Source organism: Homo sapiens, chromosome 3 (genome assembly GCF_000001405.40).
Source record: "Homo sapiens chromosome 3, GRCh38.p14 Primary Assembly".
Taxonomy (NCBI): Eukaryota; Metazoa; Chordata; class Mammalia; order Primates; family Hominidae; genus Homo; species Homo sapiens.
In genome coordinates, this window is record NC_000003.12 from 101,320,576 (window position 1) to 101,336,339 (window position 15,764).

The 15,764-nt window shown below is 33.2% G+C and overlaps 1 protein-coding gene across 14 annotated transcripts in view; it reads right to left on the reverse strand.

Moving 5' to 3' along the window:
- The window catches only part of SENP7 (SUMO specific peptidase 7), a 189,008-nt gene continuing 176,873 nt past the window's right edge, over positions 3,630 to 15,764 (reverse strand). For 12 of the 14 annotated variants that reach the window (NM_001282803.2, XM_017006926.2, NM_001282802.2 and 9 more), the window contains 7 exons: positions 12,195 to 12,287; positions 11,410 to 11,534; positions 9,759 to 9,811; positions 8,071 to 8,114; positions 7,903 to 7,971; positions 7,091 to 7,241; positions 3,630 to 5,505 (listed from right to left, as the gene is read on the reverse strand). In NM_001282803.2, the coding sequence (NP_001269732.1) occupies positions 5,368 to 5,505; positions 7,091 to 7,241; positions 7,903 to 7,971; positions 8,071 to 8,114; positions 9,759 to 9,811; positions 11,410 to 11,534; positions 12,195 to 12,287 (673 nt within the window). In that variant the 3' untranslated portion in view covers positions 3,630 to 5,367. Of the gene's footprint in view, positions 5,506 to 7,090; positions 7,242 to 7,902; positions 7,972 to 8,070; positions 8,115 to 9,758; positions 9,812 to 11,409; positions 11,535 to 12,194; positions 12,288 to 12,957; positions 13,150 to 15,764 lie in introns of those variants that run through there. The other 2 variants (XM_047448628.1, XM_017006928.3) reach the window with 2 other exon arrangements.

The window sequence follows — 15,764 nt, forward strand, 5'->3', positions numbered from 1 at the left end:
GAAATAACCAGCATGCTATAAAAGCTGGTGAGATAAGCTAATTAGAGCAGATGGAGAGAGACAATTTCTTTATTCTAATCTACCTAAGCTCTTTACTAACACTCTCCTTGCCTTTAACAAGCAGTCCACTAAGAATAATGTGTTTCACATATAATTCACTGATTTTTCCAACTTTTCTGAATCTGTTAGTTCTGGGTTTTCCTAGGGACTAAGATGTATAAGCATAAAAAGTCCAGACTGACTATATCTACCTATTTCAATAATACAGAGCTACGTACAAATTTAGTTTTTGTAATGAAACTATTCTCTTGCAAATTTCCTTCCTTGATAGAAAAATCACTTACTTTGTCTCCTTCCTTACGTATAAAATGGAATAGAAATAGTAAACTCATGGTAGAGCTAATGTGAGGATTAAATTAACTAATTAACTAATTCAATCTTCACTTTGCTTAGAGTAGTGCCCGGAACATATTAAGCACTTAATATAAATGATAGCTGTGCGATAACTTTGTTGCTTAATTTGCCATTAAATGTGAGGCCCAGTGTGTTTATCTACATGAGGAACTCTTAACCAAGAAAACATTTTCCCTGCAGATGAAATTCTCTATATTAGAACAGTTTTTTAAATCAAGTAAACCTAGTAGAAAGCAATTCATCAGAATCCCTGTGGAAGCTTGGATTTACTATCAAATAGCAATGAAATTATATTTTATTTCATGTTATCTCTGGCAAAATTCTCTGAAAAAAAGTGTATTGTAAAGATCTAAACCACATTCCTCTTGAGAATCCTTGACTAATTGTGTTAGCTAAATCACCCTCAATGTTATTTTATGCTTTAGGAAAAGCTCAAGTATATTTTTTCAATACAGCCTCAAATAAACCACATTTTCAGCCTTTATAAAAGCTAATAAACCTAAATGACCATTAAATATATTTGCATAGTTGTATTTGCAAAATACTGGTAAGCTTATAAGAAACTTACTTGCCAAATTTATTGTATGAGTAGGAGAAAAAAGCCGAAAATTTTATTAGCTGAGTCAAAGTTTAATCTTAAGAAAAGCTTCATATTGACAATTCAGAACAAGGGACAACTCTTAGGTAACAAATATTAGTTGGCAATTATTCTTTTTGACAGCCTTGACCAAAAAGCTAAAAAAAACTTCTGAGAATCATAGTAATCTAGAAAGATTCCTGTATTTAGATTGAGAAACCCTGGACTCAAATCTTGGTTTTATCACTTAATATTTGATTTTGGTAAATAACCTAAGCTCTTTGAGCCGGTTTACTCACCAAAGAAATTACATGTGATAATCTCTACCTGTATCACAGGGTCGTTGTTAAGAATTAAGAGACATGAAAGTTCTCTGTAAACTACTGTATTTGTATTACCAGTAAACTTTGTAAATAGGAATTGTTTTGTATTACAAGTGTTCACAGAGTCCAAACATGTTTCAAGCTTTGAAATTCTATTTTGCTCAAGCTCCAAAATAAATTTTCCATTAACTTATATTTCAAACAGAGAATTCACATAAAAACTTCTTAAACATTTATTATATTATGTTCTATAAAATATAGTTGGTATAATTTCAGAAACCTGTACTTTAAAAAAAGAAATATAAGAAATTAGATGGGTTCATTTGTTTCTAAATATGGTCATCATTTTACAAATTCAATTTAACTTGACATTTATTTGTAACTTTTAACTGTAACTTTGTATCTATGATACAAAGCAGGTGATGCCCGCTATTAAGTTTGTGTCATAGGAATCCAAAAGCAAGAGTAACTCCAACTAGAAAAAGCAAGAGGGTGTGGGGGAAGCAGGAGGCGGGTATTTCAGCTGCGCCTTGAATGGCCTACTTGGCATTTCAGTATTTTAGTGGGCAGAAGTAAGGATTGTTAGTGGGAAGAACTAAGAGTTAGGAGAGAAATCCCTCGTCGTGATCAATAAAGTGGAAAAGTATACTGTTTATAAAGAAAATAGGAAGATATTTGCTGGAGCACGCAAGATAGGAGCATACAGCAAATACGTTGGGAATGAAGGCTGAAAAGTTGAGATTGATTATGGAATACCTTCAAAGTTTTAGCAAGAATTTTGGATTTTTACCTACAGATGAAACATTGTCTCTCTAATGTTTAATTACTCAAAAAAGTATATTCTTTGAGTTTTTATTTAAGGAGATTCTTTTTAGGTAATATTTCACAATCTCATAGGATGGTCCTTGAATCTTTTTATGCTTCAAGAAATGTCCCAGAATCATAAGCATATGAGAAACTAAACATAAAACTCTGTGCTTTAGAGACAACAAATACAGATTCCTTCATCTAAACTTAATTACAAATAAGTCAAGGATCATTTATTGACTCAACAAAATTTTCTGAGTGTTTACTATATGCTAGTAAGATACTTAATATCAGAAATGGAAAAATGCTTCCAGTCTTTGAGGAGCTTACAGTCTAAGGAGAAAAACGTGTATACAAATAATATAAAACAGTAATTAGAGAAGTATATACAAATTGCTATAGGGGAGCAGGAGGGGGAATGAACTATTGTTTGAGTAGGTGTAGGGGTGGTAACATTTACATTCAACTTTGAAAAAATAAAGTTCACAAGAAGTGGTGAAAAGGTATGGAGGTACAATGTCACAACCCCCACTCCACACAAGCATCTATAGTCTTGGGTTCAAAGTGATATTCACACTCATGGGACAACAGTCCAAAATGTGGCTCCAGGCTTACTTTGTAGAAAAATATGGCACAGCAAACAGTGTTATAATAATAATTTCAAGTGAAGTACATCTTCATCTGGAATCTTTATAAGAGCCCTGATTTCTCCAGCCCCCAAGAAGGATGCACTAAGTTGTAACAGAAGAGACCACCTGGGTGGGAGCAGGCCACAGAAGCAGACAGAAGCCTCATACACACAGAACTATGCCTCTTAACAACGCATGGGCAGTTTCCAAATTTCCACAAGGACAAGTTTAGTTACAAGAGACCGCAGAGGAAGTACCTAAATACATGAACGAATAATTTTATACAACTGCAAAAGTAGAGGACAATGGAAAGATAAGAATAGGATATAGGCTGGAACAAGATTAAGGATGGGCTCTATAGGCCAAGTCTAAACCTATTTTTCCTCTTGGCATAAAAAAGTTGATTTCAAAAGGTATTAAACTTTTTTAAACTCCTAATTAGGTGATTGGATATGATTTAAATAACTTCTTTTTTTAACATCCCAAGAGCTGTGAAATTAAAATAATATTATCTTCTCTAGGAAGGCTTGCTTTGTTCACTAACAACCCTCTCTCTACCTCTCTACCTCCTCACTAACATACACACACACACACACACACACACACACACACACACACACACACCCCTCTAGGCTGAGCTCCCTCCTGCATTCCCAAAGAAACTCTATGGTTGTTCTTACCAGAAAATATTTAAAATGTTCACATGTCCATAAATGACTCAGGAACAAATATCATTCATTTTTTGTGCCTAGCAAAATGCCTGCTAGTAGTAGAAGCTAAAATAATTTCCCTGAACTGAAATGACACTCAAATAAACTATATGCTTTTAAAATATGAAGAATAATTAATATAAGCATCAATTTCATGATATACACAGAGCAGCATACAACTGGAAATTTATTTCTAACAGTAGCTCATGTTTCTTAAGGAAAAAAATTACACCTCAATTTAATGAATTGGAAATATGTTTAATATAAAACACTGATATCCTCAAAACATTACTTGCACATTAATTTAGGAAAATGAATTTTAAACAATCTTCAAAACATGATAAAGGACAGTGATATCTTTGAAAAACATACAAACAAAAACATTAAGAAATCACAAGATGTCTTATAGACTTGCTTTCCCAAAATTAGATGTACAAAACAATAGTCACCTTTAAAAGTACCCCCCAACACACACAAATTGGGAATGAAATATGTAATTATAGCCATCTTTATATGAAATATCCAAACAACAAATATATTTAATAATATAAAGATAGTGCCAAAATCAACAAAAGCTAAGAATACTGAGGCTTAACTGACCCCGATTCGTATGATTTTGAAATAAAATGTTCAGACTTTCTAGCTTTATCTTAATTTGCCTTTGCTTCACTGCTTTATGTAGTTATAATGTAAATCTAAGAGATGCTTAAAACAGATTAAAATAATATTGTTAAAAAACATTTTTCTTATCTGAGAAAATACAATATAATCATATCTCCCTCAAAATACTCCTGATAACATTAGAAAGTTCTGAAGTGTTTAATCATATATAATGCCACCATTATCACATGAATTCAGAACTGTTACCTGAATATTTAATAAAAAATTAAGTTCCATGAGGATCATAGGTCTCTAAAAGCTACAATTTAAAAATATAAAAGCAATGAGAGCAATCTGGCTTTGCAGATGAATACTGGGTAAACTGAGCTATAAAATTATATATTTAATTCTACCCATTAATAAATAGGACTGAGGGTTTTCTTTGTTAAAGTTATGAGGACACCAATTTTATCTTCTATATTAGAGAAACTATACATAAATTCCGTGATAATGTGAGTGAATATTTATATAGCAGTACCTCAAGTTGAGCTACATGTATAATTTTTAAAAAACTATTTTGCACAGGTAAAATTTTTTGTTTCAAATTTTACCCTGAACAAATGAACTAAATTATAAGATACTCACATATGACATCAAAAGAAATGAAAAAAAAAAAGCAGAGTAATCGTATTTAGCAATTGAGAATAATAAGCTGCACTTTAAAAGAGCGAATTTTTATCATCTTCCTAACATTATGAATGTCTTTTTGTTACATACAGAAGGGATGCCGTAAATGGCATTTTCTGAAGCCTTGATACTAAATTATTTTTTTAAAAAATACACAGTATTCATACTGCATGCTTGAGCTGCAAAGAATAGAATTACAATATGATGTGACCTGTCAGCAAATTTGACAAGCACTGGGGCTGGCACCAGGGAGGCTTTAACTCCCCTCAGCACCCAGTCACGTGGAAGTACAGATCATGTAAGTTTTATTATCTACAAAACATTCCCATATTACATATGCTGTTGCATAATCCAATCATATTTACTCAGAAAAATATGAAATATTTATAAAATTTTAATTTATATCTAGTAAGTTTATCTATATCACCCCCATTCCCATTCCATCTATGAGATCCCAACAATTCTAATAATGTGTCCTACATATTTTAAATAATGTTCCAATGACTTATTATAAAACTACTGCAAGTTATTTTCTTCTCTGTGAGCTGGCTAACACAAATGCTGGTAAGAGGCTTTCCAGTAATCTTAGAGAACATCTGTGTCATGTTTGTACAGATTAACTAGCTACTGCTGCCCTTCTGTTGCTGTAAATGAAGTTTCAAGATGAGCTCTCGAATATCTTCCCGTTTGGTCTTTATTACATGACGAGGAAACCACTTCTCCAAATGAATTGGAAGTTCAAAGTTAACAATAGGATCCTAATGAGAGGAAAAAAAGAGTGTAATCACTTTAGCAGCATAATTTCAAATTTGTTTTAATTTCATTTTTATAAGAAATGACAAATTGCTAACTTTTTTAAAATAACAATTATATTAAGATATAATTCACATAATACAATTCACCAATAGCATACAATTAAGCATTTTTAGTATATTCACAAAATCAAATCCATCTGGAAAGGGTATGAGAGGGGCAGAACCTGACACCCTATGATGAAGTTCTAGTGTGGAATAAAAAAGGGAGAAAAAACCCAACATAATAGATATTTAATGATTTCCAAAATGTGTACTGTATTTTACTATATATTATCCTTCCTCTCTCATATTAAAGACATCAAAAAGTTGTAGCTGCATACTATAACTCTCATGCTTTCAAAGTACCGTTAAGCATTCTCCAAGCCGACTTCTGGTCAAAAACATTCTGCTACTAGACCCATCTTTGTAAATAATAGTGGCAATGACTGAAGTAATGAGATGACAGTTCAAAAAGCAAAGAGTGATTCCTTGCTATTTAAAATTTCATCTTTAATACTGCTACAGTTCCTACAAAGTCTCTGTGAGCTAGAAAATAACACCTATGTTTGTCATTGTACTTCTCCAGCTATAGTTTTCTGAGCTTCTTGAATAAACAGATCTTTTCATTTTAGAAAATTTTATTTAAAATACTGTCTCTGCCCTATTCTCTTTCTCTCCAATCTTGCTGGGACTCCAGTAACATGTAAATTATACCTTTCAAACAGTAAATTATACTGTTTTATATTTGTCTCTTAAGCTCTGTTCTCTTCTTTACATTCTTTTTTCTCTCTGGGCTATAGCTGGAGTTCACTAATCCTATCTTCTACTGTATCTAGTCCTCTATTAAACTTGTCCAATAAGTTCCTAATTTCAGATATGTCATTATACATCTTCAGCTCTAGAACGTCTATTTGATTTTTTTTTTGTATACTCCATGTCTTCATCCGTTTTGTTTCATCTTTGGCTTTATCTTCTCTAACCTATTAATCAAATCATTTTAAAGTTCTTATCTGCCAATTACAGTATCTGGATCACCTGTGGTTCTATTTCTTTCTCTTTAAAAAAAATCTTGATTACCTGTAACATGTGCCTGCCTCTTTGCTTGCCCAGTGATATAGTTTTGCTGTGCCCCGACCCAAATCTCATCTTGAATTGTAGTTCCTATAATCCCCACTGTGGTGGGAGGGACCTGGTAGGAGGTAACTGAATCATGGGGGCGGTTTTCCCCCATGCTATTCTCCTGATAGTAACTTCTCATGAGATCTGATGGTTTTATAAGGGGCTTCCCCCTTCGCTCAGCTCTCATTCTTCTCCTTGCTGCTATCATGTAAAAAAGGATATGTTTGCTTCCCCTTCCACCATGATCGTAAGTTTCCTGAGACCTCCCCAGCCATGCTGAACTGTGAGTCAATTAAACCTCTTTCCTTTATAAATTACCCAGTCTTGGGTATGTCTTTATTAGCAGCATGAGAACGGACTATTACACCCAGTAACTTGTGACCGTATGGTGGTAACTGTGAATTAAAAACTTATTTATAGCTTCACATACCTTGAAGAAGCTTTCCACATACTGCAATAAATATACTCCACAATCACTGCTATTGTCCTGTTTAGGAACTTTAGGGCATAGATCCACCATGTTTGTTTTGCTGAATTGACGATGAGTTTTTAGTTTAACTTCCCACTCTACCTCTAAATACCTGAAATAATCAACAAATAAGAGTGACTAAAGTAGAAATCTATTTATCAGTATGCAACATTTTCAGAAAGGCGGAAAAACATTTGTTGCCAGATGTGCTGTCTCAAGCCAAATTTCCACACTGAATTTTAGCAGTGCAACCTACATTTTATAAGGCTCACAAGTACTACTTTAAAGAAAATATGTAATGTGATTTTCAAAGTAAAAGCTAGACTTTTTTCAACAACTCAACTTTCATAACTCAACAAAGTAAACTAAGAAATCATTTTAAAAGTTTCATCATTAGTTTTTTCCAAGTACTACAGTAAATTACAAAATTACACATACATACATATACATAATTATACAAATGTGAAAGAGTTCTTATTTTTTTCTAAAGTGGTACTTTTGATAATCAATGCAATGCTTCTTTGTAAAACTATACTTTCTGTTCAATTATGAATACAAATTCTGAATTTACCTTTAATATAATCCTTTAGAAATATTAATACTTGAATATTAACAGAATAGAAGATATTTATTATTGATTAAATTTATAGGATTGTTGAAATAGATAATAAAATATAATTCCTGATATAGTCTTTTCAATAATTCTGAAGGTAACTTCAAAATTACTGAGGTTTTAGATAACAGACTGGAATGGTAAAATTGTCATTACTTACTCTCGTAAATTCTGAACTGTGTTTTGTACAGAAGCAGCTTTCAAGGAGTCTAGTATAAGAATACATGGCCTATGAAAAGCAAAGGACAAAATCAAGATTTACATACTTGTATACAAAGTATATCTAAATACCTCAAAAAACTGTATTATTATTACAGCATGTACCTACCTTTTACACATTTTCTTTGGTACTGACATATTCGACTCGGTACTCTGAAATAACATAAATTTTTATGACTGCAATTAAAGCTATTTTGAATAATTTACTATTCAGTTACTCCTTTAAAGTGTTTCAAACTTTGAAGTTAAAATTTCAAGTAATAGTTATCTTCATCATCAAAAGTGAGCTAACTTCATTTTCCACAAATTTATTATACTGCTAAAACAGTAGGCTATATACTTTTACATGCAGTCTCAAGCAGTTAAGGAGTTTTAACTTTTCCTAAAAAGCAATCTGGAACTTTAATTACTTCCATTCCAAGTTATTATCTTAAGCAAAGATAAACAAGTTAATTTAACGTGTCTTTACATACATTCTCCAATTTATGATGTCAGTAGAGACACATTTCTTCCCTTTGAAGCCTAAGATGCAGAACCTTAATCTATATTAAGGGAAAAGGGATAGGGAATTTTGTTTTGTTGATGTTGTTTGTTTTCTTCATAAGTTTGAGAAACTACAGATCAAACTTAAGCACATTTATTTAATGCAGACCTTCTCAGTGCCTTTATTATTCTAACATAAACACTGGCTCTCTAAGACAGAAAGAGTATACAAAGTTTGCCCAACTTAATTGACCTTGGAATCCTGCTTATCACGAACTGAGTCTTAGAATGAATATTCTAAGAAACTCAATTTGAGAAATCTGGCCCTACAGGCAAGAAGGAATGCTCCTATTTTGCCGCCGTGACAGCAGGAAAGGAAGCCTTCCTCCGTAAGAAGTGACAGTTCGTATCAGTGACAGTAAAGACATAGGCCTGTGCCAGGGAGTCTGCTGCTATTTGTACATATAAAAAAAAAAAATCATTAAGTGGCAATCTTAATTTAGAACACTGAATCTAGGCTATGCAGATCTGTTTGGAGCTCCAAATAAGGAAGAGTTAATGATAACTATTTTAGCCTAAGGAGTTACATGGATTCACTTTCAGTCTACCTTGAATGATTTTTACCAATAATTTTCTGGCCGGGCTCGGTGGCTCACGCCTCTAATCTCAGCACTTTGGGAGGCCCAGGCAGGCAGATCACCTGAGGTGAGGAGTTCAAGACAAGTCTAGCCAACATGGCAAAACCCCATCTCTACTAAAAAAAAAAAAAAAAAAAAAATACAAAAATTAGCCAGGCATGGTGGTGGGCACCTGTAATCCCAGCTACTTGAGAGGCTGAGGCAGGAGAATCGCTTGAATCCAGGAGGGGGAGGTTGCACTGAGCTGAGATTGTACCATTGCACTCCAGCCTGGGTGTCAGCAAGACCCCATCACAAAGAAAAAAAAAAAAAAGGAAGAAAGAAAGAAAATAAAGTAGAATATATAATGTGCTTAAGATGATTAATTACCTAAGTTCAAAAAGTTACTGACATAAATAAAAGTGAATCTGATCCTTAGAAATTAGAAAAGTAGTTAACCAAGATGAACATCAGATAAACTACTAAATAACCTAAAAGTTAAAGCAAGCTAAACAGATATAAGAATAATAACTAATCTCGTTCTCTTCCCCAGCCCCACAAAAACTGTCAAAGAATCACAAAGCAGCACAATCTAATGATGGGCCAGCATAGCCCACCTAGCTATGCTCTATTTTACAGATAACATTATTATATTCATGAGTTTTCCTTCCTTCCCATCTGTAAAGAACACACTTACTTGGGAATCCTCTGCACTCAAAGACAGTGTCGAAGTAGTACGTAGATCATTATCTAGTTAGAAATAATTAAGCAGTTATGAGTGTTTATTGCATGTTTTTATACAGGTAACTTAGAAAAGCTTAAAATTATAATTTTTATGCAGTTACTGGATGCACAGTAAAAATACTTGAGATTTAATTTTTTTCATGATTAATGTTATGAATAAAATTCAATCAACAGATAAAACTGACAATGGTTGGCTGTTATCAAATAACAGGTAAACCCCAGAGCCATGATTGGAAATACCAGTTAGCTAGGCAAATTCTCTATAAAAAGATAATCTTCAAAAATAGCTCATTAATCAAAATGTCTGCTATTTAATGCAGAAGGTAGTTAATCTGCCTAATAATGGTGCTTCTAACTATGACCATATAGTTTTGTGTAAGTACACATTTGAGGTTTCAAGATAATTAAACATAATCAGTTGCTTCATCAGTTTTTCTTTTTCCCCACATGGGTTTTGGCCAGTATTAATGCTAATGGCTATTTTTCAATCAGCTTACTGCTTAGGCTACAGCTATAAAACATTTAATTTTGTTACTTTTTTCTCAAAGAAAGTAGGCTTATTTACTTTAGATTTTGGCTTGTAAGAAAACTCGTGGAAGAATTATAAGAGATCCTATATTACCTAGCCAAATTAATGGAGTCTACAGGAAATTAGATTAAGTAAAAATGGGGGATTTCAAGCATTGTCTGGAAATCAAAGGCATAAATTCCTAGTCATGTTAGCAAACCTAGTGTATTTTTTAAAATGGTATAATACTATTAATTAGCTAGATTTTGTCATTCTACAATGTATATGTATTTCAAAATATCATGTTGTAGCCAGGTGTGGTGGCTCATGCCTATAATCCCAATACTTTAGGAGCCTGCGGTGTGAGGACTGCTTGAGGCCAGGAGTTCCAGACCCACCTGGGCAACATAGTGAGATCCTATCTTTACAAAAAAAAATTTAAAAATAAGCCAGGTAAGGTGGTGCACCCCTGTAGTCCTGACTAATCAGGAGGGTAAGGCAGGAGGATTACTTGAGCCCAGGAGTTCGAGGTTGCAATGAGCTATAACTGAGCCACTGCACTACACCAAGACAACGTCTCTTAAAAAAAAAAAAAAAGTATGTTGTACATAGTAAATACATGCAATTTTATCTGTCAATTTTTTTAAGTTAAAACAAGCAAAAAATGTCAATGGAAATAATAATAATACATGGAATAAACATAAAATTTAGGGTAGTGGTTACTTCTGGATTAAAGAAAGAGAAATGGGAGTGGTCACAGAGGAGATTATTATTATATCAGAAAAGTTTTAATTTCTTAATCCAGGTGAAACAGGTATTGATGTTGGTCATATTAGTTATACTTTTTTGTATGTTTGAAATATTTCATAAGATCAATAAGTAGTAATTTTAAGTGCCATAATAAAACTTGATATAACAGTACAACTTCAGAATTATATTTTGTCTATCATTAAAAATTTCAGATTTTTTATTCATCCTGTTAAAGTAGGTTTAATGATAGTAAATAACTATACTACCGTTAACTTCATTTTCTTCCCTGTAACCATTAAATTATTGTCATCATTATTAAAAACACCATCTACGTTATGGATGTCACCTATTGTTTTGTTGTCATTTTGGGACTGCTGAGCCTGGGACTGCTGGGATACAGTTTGTGGAAAATCTTCATACACAGCTTCTTCTAACCATGGAAAACAAATGACTGCGAGATACCAGTGAGACCTGTTGAAAAAGAACTACAATCTTAATACCATGCAAAGTCTAAACAACATATAATATATTCTAGAGATACATCTGAGAAAGTGAGAATAAATTTCATATTAATTTTGAAGACATCCACTGTAACATCTCATTATAATATAGAGCATACATATCAACACTAAATATCCAGAGTTACCAAGGCATAAGTAACACTATTTAGGGTAACAGCTGAGTAGTTCAAATTTATTTACTTTCATACAATCGGTGTTTCCTATTAAGGATCTGCCTTAATAAATAGACTCATAGCATTATTTTTTTTGTATTGGTGCTTGAAGAGTTTGTTTTCTTAAGTATTTGAAGATTCACTCAAAAATATTTTTATTTTTTTATTTAGAAAATTTTTTCTTAAATCCAAACAAAAAAACATTCAATGTCTCAGTCATTATAGTCTTGTGGTCATTTGTCACTTTATTTTTTTTTCACTACTTTTACAACATAACCATTGTCAAACCAAAATCCAAGATAAGGAATTCATTGCCTTAGCTACTTTTATTTAAAAAAATTAAAATAATACCTGAGATGTATGTGGCCATAATTTTTACTGATTATGAATCTAAAAACACTACAAAATTTTTTTCTGAATTCTTTCCAATATGTTCTTAAATAATCTGAAATACTTACGACTCATTTACAGGTACAAAGATGTAATCTTTATTAAAAATGTTTATGTGACGAGTCCATGTTCTTACTCTTTTATGTCTTCTCTGTGCCATTCTGAGAGTATGAAAGACAGATTTGATATATAAAAATTTTTTCATTTAAGATAGGGACTTCAAGAGCCATTTTTATATATTGAAATATCTTAAATTTAGTTTAACCATCTTCTTTAAGATATATCATATTTAACACATTATAAATATATCTCCTTATAGTAACCCCTGGTTATTCTTAAATTTAATAACTATAAACAATAATGAAATGGACAGAATAAAGGCAGCAATTTATTAAATGCTTTTCAGATTCCAAAACTGGCTGTGCAACTTAGTATAAACACAGTTAAATCTACTTATTTTGCTTAGCTCCATCTGGGCATGATATAAAATACTGTCATTAAACCTTAACAGAATTCTCCAACTGTTATATCTGTCATTAGGGAGGTTTTAAAACTCAATGGGCTGAGTGTGGTGGCTCATGCCTGTGATTCCAGCTACTTAGGATGCTAAGGTAGGAGGATCACTTGAGATCAGGAGTTCAACACTAGCCTGGGCAACATAGCGAGACTCCTGTCACTAAAAATATAAAGAAAATTAGCCAGGGTGGTGACACACACCAATAATCAGTCCCAGCTACTTGGGGGATTGCTTAATCTCAGGAGTTTGAGGCTGTGATCACACCACTGCACTCTGGCCTCAGTAACAAGGGAAGACCCTATCTCTAAAAAATAAATTAATCAGTTAACTTAATTTAATTAAAAATCTTAATGGAGGAGGAAAAATGAGGCTTTTATTCTCAGATTCTTTAAAATAAAATTCATCTCCCTTCCTTTCATACACAAGGAAACTACAGGATGATGTTAAATGTACCTACCACTCATCCATCTTTCCTTTTATTTCTTCAACAAATATTTATTAGGTTCCTAAAAACAAATAATGAAAGTCACCTACACTGCCCTAGAAGTATTCATAATCTAATATGGGCAGAAAAAACTATAACAAATAACTAAAATGTGTCATAAGAGGTACAAAGGAATTATGGTAATGCAGCAGTCCCCAACCTTTTTGGCACCAGGGACTGGTTTTGTGGAAGACAATTTTTCCAGGGACAAGGTTAGGGGGGATGGTTTCAAGATGAAACTGTTCCTCCTCAGACCGTCAGGCATTAGTTAGATTCTCATAAGGAGCACGCAACCTAGATCCCTTGCACGCACTGTTCACAACAGGGTTCGCGCTCCTGTGAGTATCTAACGCTGCCACTGATCTGATAGGAGGCAGAGCTTAGGCAGTAATGCTCGCTCACTGCTGCTCACCTCCTGCTGAGTGGCCTGGCTCCTAACAGGCCACAGACTGGTACCAGTCTGAAGCCCAGGGGTTGGGGACCCCCTTATTAAACCATCTGAGACAGCCACCTTGAACAGGGTTGGCTTGCATACACACAAATACTAGTTTCTTTTCTTTACCTAATCAGGGGAGTTAAAAGAGAAGGATATAAAACCAAGTTTGACTGTCAAAAGAAAGGTTTTAGGAAGGAAGAAAATGACATTTAACAGGGGGATAAAGGTGGTATGTGACTTCTGGCTCAGTCCCTTGGATGGAACTCTTATTGCAGGAAAAAAAAAAGGCAAACCATTACATTCTTATATAATTTTTATCAAGTCATATAGGAAACTGAAATCATTGCCCCATCTTGTTCATTTGAATAATATCTAGCCAAAACTCTATGGGTAAACATCAGGAGTAACATAGGATCCAGAATGAGCTAAAAGATTTGACAGCAATTAGACACTATGTGGAAGATTAACCACATAAAAAAATCAAAGTCACGTTTATTGAATTTTCTCATTTCAAAAGGACCCAACCATTATAATCAGTATAAACAATTACTTTCAACTAGTGTATAGTCTGTTAATTTGTTTTCTATTTGAAAATCTTAAGGATAGACATCTGGTTTTATATTGGTATTTGGTCGATTTCCTGATTATGCTAACCTTATTTGATTGAGAATATATTAGACATAGAATGAGGCAAGGAGGATAGGAGAGAATATGAGGGCCAAACATAATCTCCTATTCTCAGTTCCTGTGTAGAAAATCTTCAACTAAATGTCTAACAGTTCTCTCAGTAATCAATAATAGGCACTGTTATCATCTCATATTTTGAGTTCCTAATATGTTCCAAGCACCGAGCAAGGTACTGAGGATAGAGTGGAAAATAAGACAGATAAAGTCCCTAACTTCATGTAGCTTCAAATGAGAAACAGAAAATGAAGACGTAAACAAACGAATAAAATGATTACAGATCACGCTGTGAAACAAATTTTTTAAATGCCAGGATAAGTTGTTTCAGGCAGAAAATAGGAAAGCGGTCAGCATATTTGAAAATGGAAATGAGGTAGGTTGAACTTAAGTATGGTAAATGAGAGGAAACAATATTATGAGATGAGTTTAAGGAGATGGAAAGAAACCAGATCTTTCAGGATCTCATAAAGCATGATAAGGAATCTGTAGCTTCTCAACACTAGTAGTTAGAGCCTTTTGATGTGGATTTATTGGCCATTAAAATTCATATCTCTTGCTGCTCTGATGACTTTTAAAAACTGATTTGTAGGGATTCTTTGTGTAAACACTAATGCTTGATCTGATATATCAAATTGTGTGAATGCTTAACAGACCAAGCATTAGTATTCACACATTCATGTGCATGTGTACATGTGTGTGTGTGTGTAGTATCTTATGCATCTTACCCTAGAGGATGCCACTCACGTAACTTTATTTTTATTATGTATATAATAATCAGGTACACAATATCTGTTTTTTGAAAAGCTTACTAATACAGCAGAATCTATCTACTTTCATTTCCTTAGTTTGAAGGTGAGTATACAAAATTCACAATCTCTACTTTGAATAATCTTGAAATAAAACATGAGATTAAGTGCATGGTACCAATCATTAAATTCTGTATACATAAAACAGAACAGGAGGGCATCAGAAATGTTACCTAATTTATTTAATAAATCTCCCCCTTCCATATATCCCTCTCCTAGCCCTGATTATCAGAAATATTTTCAAATTGCAGTTTTCTCCTTAACTGATCCTCGCAGGTCTTGTCCATCAGGACAAATTCCAAACCTGTAAAGACACTCAAAATGGAGTTAATCATACATCCCAGTTTGTCTAGAAAAGCCCTGGTATACGCACTCGTTGTCTAGTGTACCCACTAAGACAGCCTCCTATTATTCTCACAAGCATCCCAATTTAGACCATTAATTATATAATCACAACACTATGAACAACAGAAAGAGTTGAACTTTGAAACTGGAAAGCTATATCCAACTTTGAAAAACTCATATAACTTCCTTAAGCTTCAATTCATAAAGACAATGACAATAATACTGTAGAATCAAATAACTTTATGTTCACCGTCTTAGTTCCTAGCAGGCACTCAATAAATATTAATTAGTGTCCCTATTCCTACCCTCTTTCTCCAACAATATATCAAATTCAAGCAGTTTATCCATTAATCCTCTTCTAACTCT